Raw genomic sequence first — 13,507 nt, 5'->3', positions numbered from 1 at the left:
TCCACTGCTCAAGGTTTGTTTATGATGTCTGTACTCTAGCATAGTTGGTCATATTGTTGTGAGCAGTGAAGAGTTTTACTTTCTGCCTACATAGGAAAGAGTGGTTAATTCTAAGACTCGTGTGTATTATCAATAACTATGATATATCCACTAATCCACTAAGTAGTGAATGCTTTCCACTATGTAGTTAAAGCCATACCTACATGTGGTGACTATTCATGAATGACACAATAAGAATCAGCAATTTGACTGCACACTCCTATTTGTCAACCTACTAAAAGGTAATGTAACATCCACCTGCCACTTACCAGCTGAACTGCCTTGGTCAAACTTTCCATGCCATTAGCTACCTTATAGAGTTTTTTTTGTAAACATTAAGTAAATTAACAAATGCAAAGCATTTAAATGGAATATGGCACATACACAAAAGAAAATAATTATTTAAGTCATCTCTATTCAAAAGTTCAGTGTAAATTTTAGGATATCTATATTTAGTGATGCCTACGTGGTCCTTTTGAATTCCCAAGCAACCTCAGATTCCTTCAATGTTACATACAGAGACAGTTGCCACTAAACTACTGGGATTGGCACAGAATGCTATTCACCATTTCCTAAAATAGATGTTGGCAGCAAATTGTTTTCATTGTCAGGACAGACTAAGGGATTATATAGAGATATCTTGGGGCACAAGTTGGCCAGATATAACCAAGTTTCAACTTTTTTGTCCTTTCAATTTATCAATTACCATCTAATCTATGTATCTACACATCTATGTATCTACACATAATGCCTCCTGGTATATTTTCCAGGCTCATCTCATACCAAAATGAAGACCTTTAATCCTTAAAGGAGTGTCCTTCAAAGTAGGATATTTGTTATGTGTTAAACACTGGTCATCTTTATTCATCAAACAGCATGCTATAGTATGGCAGTGATCAATGGAAACACCCAATGGGAAATAAGTGAAATACCAGCAGCCAAGAACAATGAGAAGTAATCATCAGTTACCATTTCAAGCTTTGTCACTTTCTACCATAACTTATTTGCAGTAATCAACACAAATAATTACTCTTAATTATCAATTACCTATAATTCTATGTAGATGCACAATAGTTTTGGAGATATAAGAACACAGGAGTTTAAAAATAAGATGTTTTTCATTCTGTTAACTGGTAAGAAGTTTCCAGTTGGTAATACTGGAACAGGTAAATAGGTTTCCCAGTAACTAACTGGCAGGAGCCAATGACATAAACAACATCATTTATGGTAATGCTTGTTTCAGCAATATTTGTGGAAAAAATAACCTGTGAAGAAAGAAAAATTACACTCCAGATAATATTCTTATTATGTACTTGAAACGACTGGTTTGCTTATGTATGTAACAAATGACAAGAAAATTACAGAAGTCCTAAGAAAATCACCCAATAACCAATTAATGAACAATCTACTAAGCTCAGAAAGAGAAGACTCCTTTTTTCTTCCTCAATTTAGATGGGTTACAATTTTTTGGGTAGCTCTTTGAAGACCTGTAACATTTGTTTAATATCAACATCACTTCCAATCCCATCATTGTAATGTTTAATATTTACCTTGGTTACTCCAACTGGTACTGGATCCAACACTTTGCGCTGTTGCTCTGGAGGAATCTGAGAATGCAGAAGTAGAATCTGGTACTGATGGCTTCCCATATATAACAGTACAGAACAATCAGGGACTAAAAATAGGAACTGGTTTCAAACAGCTCTCCGTTGTACATATTTTTTTTCTTCGAAAGTATTGACAACACAAAATTTTGTTTTCACATACTGGCTAAGGCACTAGCAAAAACATTCATTTTCACTCTCAAATATGTGAGAATTTAAAGACTCATACCAAAATGTGGATTCATTTCCAAATGCTTCTTCACAGTATAAATCAAATTCCAGACAGGCAAAAAAACAAAACAAAACAAAACAAAACAAAACAACAGCTCCGGAAACGTTAAGAGTTTCAATGTACTTAAGTAGAGCTTTGATGAATTAAAAGGGAGTTTCCTTTTCGTTCAATTGAGACCTGCTCAACCTTGTTTCTGGACCATATTCATCACCACAGATCAAGTTGCAATTTTCCTGTAAAAAACAGGGAGACATATTTTGGACTGTCTGTTACTACAGCTCATGACAGTTACTACAGCTCATGACAGTTACTACAGCTCATGAGGTAAGTCTTCTAGATTTCTTCTAGTGACTCTAATGACTTGTAATGTCGTTATTTATTCTAGTTGACTGGTCATACACTACAGAATACAGAGAAATTTAATTTCCAAAAATGTAGAGCTTACATTAATATACTGAACTTTTCTACTAACTAGTATTTCTCACAGGATAGGACTAAAACTCAAGCACAAATTTTAAATTTGACTCAAACCTCTCATGGAGCCTTCTAAGGAGTATACTTCTTTCTTAATATTAGTGAAATAATGTAGCATTTTTCCAAAAAGTTTACATTAGAATCAATGATAAAACAAGTTGAGAAACAGTTGTTACAAATGGTCTTTTTCCTGCTAAATTTTCTAATCTGCTGTTCACTTACATCTTCAGATCTTTTGATTAAAAAGATACAATCTTAAGTTTTCAAGCAAATTCTGCATTGCTGGCTGTCTATTTCCAGATAAACCATCCATTTTTATACTACCGTTTGTCCAACTCTCAAGCACTACAATATAGGTCTTTTCTTTCCTGTTTCTCCTAGGAAATCCCTCTTTGCTCCCTGATTTAATACTCCGTCCACCTGATAATGTCATCTCCAGTCTCCTGTAGCTGAAGCTATAGCTGCTGTTTATAAACTTTATTGTACATACAGATCACCTGGGTATCTTGTTAAAACATAAATTCTGATTCAGTAGATCTAGGGTGGGGCACAGGATTCTGCCTTTCTACCAGTTTGCCGGGTTCTGCAGCCTACTGAAAATACTGAGTAGCAAAACTTTATGCAATGGTGTTGTCTGTAACCATGCCTGGCCTTTAAACATTGTATTCTTTCTTTTTTTTCTTTTGACTTTTATGCCAGAAATAATTTAACTCGTGATAGAAAACAGCTTGCCACTGAACCTGTAATTTTTTGCAGTAAAATACATCAATTAATCCAAAGGCAGACATTATAGTCAGTTTTTTAAAAATCTTCTGTAATGCTAATAAGTTGCATGTTATATTAACTCCTTTTTTCTCTGCATTGACAATTTGCCCACAATGGAAATTCTTCATGAAATTCACTTACATAATCATCCTCACCACCATCATCATCCTTATCCTTCTTCTTCTTGTCTTTTGGTGGAGGAACAAAGTGGGTCATCCGAATGCAGTCTTCCAGAAAATATTCTGCCAGGGACGATCCAGTCAGGTAAGTACTATCAACTTTCACAATGGAGCAGACTCAAATTCATTTGCTAATTCATAGTTCAAAACTACTTTAATACCTCTCTAGTCTGATTCCTCACAAATGCCAAAAAATTCCAGTAGTAATAACCTTATTTTCCTAACCAAACTCAGTGTTTCCCTCTCTTAGACCTTGAAGGAAGGTGAAGTATCTTTTACACATGTTCCCACAGAGCCAGTTGGGGTATCCTCTGTGTATAACATTCAACCAAACACTTATCTGTACACTTCCATTGTGTTGGAGTTGTACATGGAAAGTAGTAACTTAAATAAAACAATATACCGCAGTCTATCCTTCCTCTATCAGTATGCACACATAAAATGGCTTCTAGTTAATCTGAAGAAGGATCTCAATGCAAGGACTGGAAGATCTGTTGATCAATTATGCCCAAGATTCTCAGATGGCCCCAGAATGTCTTTATAATTGAAACACCCTCTATATCCAAAGACTCCATAAGTGCCATTCTCATCGCATCATATTAAGGGCACATCTTATCAATATGACCTACTCTTCATGATGTTAAAACTTGATCACCTGTGGTAGTGTCTGCCAAGTTTCTCCACTGTAAAGTTACTCATTTTCCCTTCTTCCCACGCTGTACTCTTTAGGAGTTATTAAACACAGCTCACTCAGGGGTTAGGTAGTTCAGACCCACTTGTTTGAAAAATGGGGAGACCATTTACATAAATTATTTGAAATTATTTTGTAAGAGAGACTTGTCACTATTATTTTTATTAAACCACTTATTTACATATCAGTATAGACACATAAATATTTTACATTTTGGTAATCTAATGCCATGTTTTTATTTCATTAAACTGTTCCAGCCTTGGCCATTGGGAACTCTTTCAGATTGGCTCCTGTAGCCATTTATCCCCATTGCTATGGGCTTCTTTTAGGCACTACCTTACTTTAAAACACAAGATGTTCCAGGCTCATTTTTGTATATTCTGTTTCATCCTAGAAGCAGCCATTTCTCCAGAAATATCTGGTTCCTTTAATTGGAGAATGGCATTAAAAACAAAATCTGGATGTGGGGCATATCCCTATCTATTGGGTGTCACTGCTTCTACTCCCACTCAGCACACAGAGCTAGAAAAAAATGTGTATGTATACTAACACATGTATCCACATGTATCTATATTTCTATACCTACCCATTTGTATCTCCATTTAGCTGAACACAAGTTCATGCTGATCTCTTTGAGTATAATCCGGTACCCTATGCTTTGTTCTGGCAATCCCACTTAGGTTTAACTTCTCTTTCTAGTAGTAAGAAACTGAGCTCCCAAGGCCAGGCGCGGTGGTAAACGCCTGTAATCCCAGCACTTTGGGAGGCTGATATGGGCAGATCACAAGGTCAGCAGCTCAAGACCACCGTGACCAACATGGTGAAAGCCCATCTCTACTAAAAATACAAAAACTAGCTGGGTGTGGTGGTGTGTGTCTGTAATCCTAGCTGCTCAGGAGGCTGAGGCAGGAAAATCACATGAACCTGGGAGGACGAGATTGCAGTGAGCTGAGACTGCACCACTGCACTCCAGCCTGGGCAACAGAGCTAGACTTCATCTAAAAAAGAAAAGAAAGAAAGAAACTGAGCTCCCACCACTTGCCATCCATTTACTTGTATGTCAATTCCAGTACACATGTACAGCAGTTTTAGAATTAACCTGTACCCCTGTGAATTACACTGGCTTAGCATGCTGGTATAGCCATAACGTCATATCTATCTACACTGTTTCTCTCTTATTTTCATGCCCTCAATTGAATGTGCCATAATTCATTTTTTTTCCCCAAAGCTACCAGATGACTATCCTAGGAAACTGTGATAACAACTCCTAAAGACAGTAAAGAAGGCTGGCCACAGTGGCTCTAGACTGTTATCCCAGCACTTTGGGAGGCTGAGGCAAGCTGACTGCTTGGGTCCATGAGTTTGAGACTAGCTTGGGCAACATGATGAGACCTTGTCTCTACAAAAAATACAAAAATTAGCCAGGCACGGTGGTGTGCACCTGTAGTCCCAGGTAATGAGGAAGCTGAGATGGGAGGACTGATTGGGCCTGGGAGCCAGAGGTTGCAGTGAGCCAAGATTGCACCACTACACTCCAGTCTGGGCAACAGAGTGAGACCCTGTCTCAGAAAAAAAAAAAAGATACTAAAGAACACTCACTTATCAGAAATATATAACCTTGACATACTTCCCTTAATCTTAATTCAAAATCTAGTTGCTCAGGCTCTAAAAAGTATTCTTAATTTGATCCTGGCTGCTTAAACTCTTAAGAGTAATTCCCATAATTACATATATACCACAGTTATTTCCCTTTGACTATTCATTATAATTTTTAAAAGTTTGGCTTTATAAGTAAACGCCTGGAAACTTACTGGATATGCAAACTACTCAAGTAGTAAATGAAACCTGGTCTCACTTCTCAGACTGTACTCACTACTGTATAAAATCACAGACAAGAAGCTCCTCAAAAATGCTATGATACATCTGATACTGTAATTTTTCCTGTATTTTAAGTATTCTTTAAATTATAACTCCAATTTCCAGGATTAAGAAAATCCAAACCCTACTGCACAAAAGATGTTCCTATCCCACCCCCACAATATTACCTTCAATTGGTTAAGTCCTCCCATAAACTTCAATGATGGGGCAATTGAAGAAATATTCACAGAACATGTTGGTATCAATAGTAGCAGACATAAGAACAATGTGAACTTCAGGATAAGCCTGAAACACATCACGCAGTACTATCAAAAGGAAGTCAGTCTATTAAAACACAAACACAAAATTTTTGAAATTACATTAACTTTATACAACAAACTATGCCTAAAGGAGTTATACAGCCACAAGATATCATTTAAATTCACTTTCTTAGATGGCTCATAGAAGTGCAAGATAAAGGACCACAGTGGGTCCTTTATCAATTTTTAAGATAACAATAACAATTTTTAAGAACAGTTGTAGCCTAATAGTTGTTGGAGATTAGGAATGAGTGCTAATGGCCGGGCTCAGTGGCTCATGCCTGTAATCTCAGCATTTTGGGAGGTCAAGGTGGGTGGATCATCTGAGGTTGGGAGTTCGAGACCAACCTGAACAACAATGGAGAAACCCTGTCTCTACTAAAAATACAATATTAGCCCAGTATGGTGGCACATGCCTATAATCCCAAGTACTCAGGAGGCTGAGGCAGGACAATCACTGGAACCAGGAGGGAGAGGTTGTGGTAAGCCAAGCCATGTTGCTCAGGCTGGTCTCAAATTCCTGGCCTCAAATGATCCACCTGCCTTGGCTATATTTTTAAATTTTACTTACTTTGTGGAAATGCATATTTTATGTTGTCTTGGGATTTCCTTTTTTACATACCACAACATTGCTAAGATTCATCCACTCATTACTATAGTCATCCTTTCTGATGACAGTTTACTGTTCCTGTGTATGTATTTATCAGTTAATTCACTTACTCTTACATATATCTGGCTTGTTTTCAAGATTTACTAATGTGAACATTTACTACTATGAGCATCCTTGTTAAGTCTAAAGAGCAGTGCTAAACATATCCAAGTTTCTGGAGGTTAAGTGTGGGTATAGAATTGCCAAGCTATAGGGTATGTAACTGCTGAACTTCAGAAGATAACACTTAACAATTTTCCTAAGTGGTTCCATTATTTGTATATCCCCATGAGCAGTGAATAAGCGATCCTGCTGATCCACATACTCTCCACATTTTTACAATGTCGCTTTTTATTAAATAAATGGATATAATGCAGTGTCTTCTTGTGGTCTAGACCTATACTTTCCCATTAGTCCCAGTGAGATTGAATATCTCCATGTTTATTAACCAAATGTTTCCTCTTCTATAAAATGCCTGTATTTTTGCTCATTTTTCTACTACATTGTTTAAACTTTTCTTACTGATTTGTGGACGTTGCTTATATATTCCTGTACTAACATGTTGGAATCTTCTAGCTTGAGGTTTTCCTTAAAGTTCCTTTTGACTAAACAAATGACCTTAATTTTAATATGGAAGAGTACAGTGATCTTTTATTTCAAGTTTAGTGCATTTCATGTGTTCAGCAATCCTTTCAGAAGGTCTAAAACTATGCTGCCCAATACAGTAGCATTAATCTGAATTGAGATGTACTTTAAATGTAAAACACATTTGTTCAAACCAAATGTTGAAGACATCGTATGAGAAAAAATAATGAAAAATATCTCAAACATAACTTTTAAAATTAACTGTGTGTTGTAAATACTTTAGATATTCTGGGTTAAATATGTTTAATTTCACATTTTCACCTTTTCAAATGCATTATTAGAAAAATTTAAATTATGTGGCTTACGTATTTCTTTTGGACAGCACTGTCTAGAAGATGCTTATTTATATTTTTATATTTTCTACTTCAGTGTTTGAAAAACTCTTTCATGTGTCAACACATTTAAAGTTCTCAATCTATATGGAGATGATTTTTGTACTTAGTTATGAGGTAGGGAAGTTATTTCAAATACATTGAAATAACAATTAGTTTCCAGTTCCATTTACTTAAATGCTCATTCCCTAGCTCGCTGATATGGCATGCCACCATTATCTCATAACAACGTTGCATGTAACATACAACATACAATGTGTTTTTGTGCCCTGTCTTATCCCATCTATCAACCCATGTACCTCACTGTCTCGATTATTTTAGCTTCAAAACAGGTCTTGTTATCTGTAAGGCAAGATTCTCCATTCTGTTCTTCTTTAGAAATACTGGCTACTTGGGGCCATAAATCTATCTTATTAAGTATTTACAATCACCTCATCAAGTTGTATGGAAAACCTTGCCGGTATTTTAATTAGAATTGCATTCAAAATGTGGATCAACTTGAAAATAATTGATGTTATTAAATCCTACTATATATAAACATTGTCTGCTCTTTTTCAGTGTTTTGTAATAAAATTTATTTATCTTGTAAAGATCTTGCCTGTTTTTGTTGTTTATTCTTAGGTACTGAATACTTTGACTGCTGAAGTCTATTTTCTTTTTATTTTTTCTAGCTATTCTTATAAGTATAAAAAAAGCTACTGCCTTTTTTATATTAACCTTTTATCCAGCCATACTGTTAAGTTCTATTATTTGTAGTATTGGTCTATAAGTACACTTGGGTTTTCTATGTAAGGTGACAGAACAAGGTAAGATTTATCTTGAAAGAGAACATGAAAAGTTTCTTCAGGCTGGGCAAGGTGGCTCACACCTGTAAATCCCAGCACATTGGGAGGCCAAGGCAGGCAGATAACCTGAGGTCAGGAGTTTGAGTCCAGCCTGGACAACATGGCAAAATAGTGTCGCTACAAATAATACAAAAATTAGCCAGGTGTGGTGGCAGGCACCTACAATCCCAGCTACTCATAGGCTGAGGCAGGAGAATCCCTTGAATTCTGCAGCAGAGGGTACAGTGAGCTGAGATGCAGCAACTTCACTCTAGCCTGGGCTGAAGAGTGAAACTTCAATAAAAAAGAAGACAAACCTGGGCTGAAGTGGACAAGACAGGACCAGGCCTGAAAAGCCCAGACAGGACCATACCAAACCAGACCAGACCCAACAAAACTGGACTACACTGAAATGCACTGGACCAGACTGGACCAAAGCGGACAAGACCGGGCCAGACTGCATAAGACTGGGTCAGGACTGGACTAGGCCAAACCAGACAAGACCAGTCAGGACTGGACTGAACCAGACTGGACCAGAACAAACCAGACAAGACTGGGCCGAACTGGACAAGACTGGCAAGGACCAGGCTGAACCGGCCAAGACCAGACCAAACTGGACAAGACCAGTCAGGACCGGACAAGACTGGGCCAAAATGGATAAGACTGGTCAGGACCAGATGAAAATGGACAAGACTGGACCAGACCTGGCTGAAACCTGTAAAACTGGTCAGGCCTGGAGTGAACCAGACCAGACTGGACTGAACTGGACCAAACTGCATACGACTGGACAGGACTGGACAAGACCAGATCAAACCAGACAAGACTGGGCTGAACTGGATAAGACTGGTCAGGACTGGACCAAAACAGACATACTGGACCAGACTTGACAATACTGGATAAGACTGGTCAGGACTGGACTGAACCAGACCAGAGCAGACCAAACCAGTTAAGACCAGAAGGACTGGACAAGACTGGACCAAACCGGACAAGACTGTGCTGAACTGGATAAGACTGGTCAGGACCAGATGAAACTGGACAAGCCTGGACCAGACCAGTCAGGATTGGACTGAACCAGACCAGTCCAGACCGAACCAGATAGGACAAGACTGGGCCAGACTGGATAAGACCGGACAGAACTCAACAAGACTGGACCAAACCAGACAAGACCAGGCCAAACTGGATAAGACTGGTCAGGACTGGACCGAATCAGACCAGAATGGACCAAACCAGGTAAGACTGGACAGGACTGGACAGGACCAGACCAAACTGGACAAGACCATGCAGATCTGGATAAGACTGGTCAGGACTGGACCAAACCAGAGAAGACTGGACCAGACCTGTCAGGACTGGACAGAACCAGACCAGACCAGATCAAATCCGATAGGACAAGACTGGGTCAGAACAGATAAGACCAGACAGGACTGGACAAGCCTGGACCAAACCAGACAAGAATGGGCCAATCTGGATAAGACTGGTCAGGATCAGACCAGACCAAACCAGACAAGACTGGGCCGAACTGGATAAGACTGGTCAGGAATGGACCAAACTGGACAAGACCAGGCTGGGCCAGACAAGACTGGACCAAACTGGACAAGACCAGGCTGGGCCAGACAAGACTGGACCAAACTGGACAAGACGAGATAAGACTGGTCAAGACCAGACAGAACTGGACAGAATAAGACCAGACCAAACTGGACAAGACCAGGCCAAATATGATAAGACTGGTCAGGACTGGACCCTACCAAACTGGCAGGACAGGAGCAGACCAGACCATACTGGACAAGTTTTCACAGACCCTTCCACGTTGGCTTCCCAAAGTGCTAGGATTACAGGCGTGAGCCACTGCACCTGGCCCAGACTTACATCCTAAGTTGCTTAAGCTGACCCAAACCACTTACTGTTTTAGAAAAATACCAAGGATTATCCATGACATTATTCCAGTGTTTGGAATAATTTAAACCCTAAGAACATTGCTAGATTAACAAGCAATTAAAGATAATATAGAAACATTTGTCAATTAAGTTAATTAGGAAAAACCTGTAAAGTTTCCAAGAGAATATAAAGGACAAAAGAGCAAAAATTTTGTCCTACTGAAAACTTACATAATTTACAGTCATGATAAACCATCCAAACCAGTCTTATCTGCTTCAGCTTAGCTTTGCCAAAACTCAAGATGTTTAACAAAAACTGATATAAAAGTAAGAGGAGAAAGTTTTAAGAAATGCTTTGAGGAGAGGTGGATGGATCACCTGAGGTTAGGAGTTTGAGACCAGCCAGGCCAACATGGTAAGACCCTATCTCTACTAAAAATACAAAAAATTAGCCAGGCCTGGTGGCAGGCACCTGTAATCCCACCTACTTGGGAGACTGAGGCAAGGAGAATCACTTAAATCTAGGAGGCAGAGGTTGCAGTAAGCCGAGATTGCACCATTGCACTCTAGTCTGGGTAACAAGGGTCAAAATAAAAAAAAAAAAGAAAGAGAAAGAAAAAAACAAGAATTAAAAGAAGTGTTAGAGATTATCATGAGATCTAAAACCCAAATCCTTTTATTAACCTTATTTTTAGATTAATTTTATTATATCAAAAGTGCATTAAATAATGTCACATTTCAAGCATAACAGTTAATTTTTTTGACTGCTATGCTTGAAATTTGGAAATTCCCAATCCCTGGAAACTACTGATCTGACTTTTGTCACCACATACCAGATTTGCTTTTTTCTAAAATTTCATATGCATAAAATTATATGGCAGGTATTATTGTCTCCAGTTTATTTCTTTTAGAATAATGTTTTAAAATTTATCCATACTGATGGATGAATCAGTACTTTATTTCTTTTTGTTGCTGAGTATTATTCAATTTTATGACTTGTGATATTATGAAATATATATTTGGTCTTCAACCCCCTTTCCTGGCATACAACTCTTAAAACACTTAGAAACTTGGAAGTGATGTCTTGTGTTTGCTAATTATTGACTGAACTTATGGCTAGTGGCCTGTGGGTAACTTCAGAATGGGGGTTGGGAGAAGAAAAGAAAAAAAGAAAAAAAAAATCTTTGAGTCACTGGCGGCAGTTTAAAAAGCATGCTGCCCATGCACTGAAACCTTTGTAAGGCACTGTAATACTTGGCTTGGATATAATTTCACATCATTTAATTGCATAGCAGTTAATTTTACACCAGTTTTGCCAAGGGCTAAAAGAGGGATTGGTTGGAAATAAATTATAGTTTCTTCCCAATTTTGGCATGATTCTCATTAACATCTGAAAAGATCAGAGCTGAAAACATCTGAAAAAACTCTGTTAATTATTTTAAAATAAACACTATAGGCTGGACACAATGGCTCATGCCTGTAATCTCAGCATTTTGGGAGACTAAGACAGGTGGATCACCTGAGGTCAGGAGTTCCATACCAGCCTGACCATGGTGTTGAAACCCTATCTCTACTGAAAATACAAAAATCAGTCAGGCATGGTGACGGGCGCCTGTAGATCCAGCTACTCAGGAGGCTGAGGCAGAAGAATTGTTTGAATGTGGGAGGAGGAGGTTGCTGTGAGTTGAGATTGCACCATTGCACACCAGCTTGGGTGACAGAGCAAGACTCTGTCTCAAAACAACAACAAAAAAAGCCATTATAAAATCTATCATAAACTTCCAATCCAAAGAAAAACGAATCATAAAAATTCCATCAGCTATTTAGTCATAAATCATTAGTTCAATTGCTGAAATATGCCAGCTATTACTGATCACTGCAGTTACACTTTACGACATAGGTCTTCACTTCCAGAATGCTTTCTGTAAAGTTTAACAATAAAGAAAAAAAAATTTAACAATCTTGCTAAAAAAAGATTTTCAACATCTGAGTGATTGAAGTTCGTAGTTTTGATAATGATAAAAACAGGGGAAAGGGAAAACAAATCAAAGACATTCTACTGATTTCTCTTAGAAATAGTAGAATTAGTACCTTACTGTACCTCTCAAGTTACTTACATTAATGTCTCTTTCATGTATTTCACCTACAGTTACATGACTGATTCCTCAAATGCCTGATTCTAATTTTCTTAGGAGCAGACCTTCAAAAGAAAAACAATCAACAAACTGTAGAAAAGTTCAAAGAAGCAAATGTCTGGACAGTTATCTATATTTCAACTAAGATACCCCAGCATCAATTTAAAAAATAATCACGTGTACATTTAAACTACTAAAAAGGTGATAGTACACTATGAAATATAGTTTTTTTCACCAATTTTATGATTTCATTTTCTCTAAGCTACAAGATCTAATGGGTATATCATACTTACCATGAAGGAAAAAACTGCCAAAAGTTTTATTTAAACAAGAAATCTGAGACTGAATCATTATTTCTTTCCAGTCATTCTGTTCTGCTGTCAAGTTTTCTTCACAAACACCACAACATAAACCCCAAATGAAATTTGAAAATATATTACTGACCTACAGTACAAAACGTTATACTGGCATGAAAACGAGGGAGTACAGACTCAATTCGAACAGTGTATCCACAGCTTTTTCCAGTCTCTTCTCCTCTTTCAAATGCAACTCGCTCTGCCACAGAAACTGCACTGATTCTTCTGGGCTGAGACAGTAAAAAAGAAAAGTGACTTAACAACTACAAAGTTAGATACAATTGTTTATTAGCATTTTTGGATTATTGTAGTAAATCTGTCCTACTGCCAGCTGAATAATTAACAGAAACAATAAATGTACAAAAAATACTATTGGTTTCTATGGCAGACACTTTAAAAATGTTGTTTTTAATTTTCTACTTAAAATGATTCTATAATTTGTCATTGCCTCCAACTCTTAAATAGTGTTCACAGTGATTTTCCAGTAGGGAACAGGGCATAACATACGTAGGGAGGTTTGTCTTTGTAACTGAT

General features: G+C 37.7%; 1 pseudogene across 1 annotated transcript; it reads right to left on the bottom strand.

Annotated features, from left to right (window-relative positions):
• Nucleotides 1-1,618: 1,618 nt before the first annotated feature.
• LOC646813 (DExH-box helicase 9 pseudogene) lies at nt 1,619-13,103 on the bottom strand (annotated as a pseudogene). Its single transcript, NR_024504.2, has 6 exons — nt 13,062-13,103; nt 12,600-12,682; nt 6,030-6,147; nt 3,256-3,356; nt 1,873-2,108; nt 1,619-1,646 (listed from the first exon to the last, which is right to left on the bottom strand). The product of NR_024504.2 is annotated as a DExH-box helicase 9 pseudogene (transcript).
• Nucleotides 13,104-13,507: the final 404 nt, after the last annotated feature.

Source organism: Homo sapiens, chromosome 11, assembly GCF_000001405.40.
Source record: "Homo sapiens chromosome 11, GRCh38.p14 Primary Assembly".
In the NCBI taxonomy this organism is placed as follows: domain Eukaryota; kingdom Metazoa; phylum Chordata; class Mammalia; order Primates; family Hominidae; genus Homo; species Homo sapiens.
Note: the sequence above shows the minus strand (reverse complement) of the source record. Positions and strands in the feature narration are given on the sequence as shown.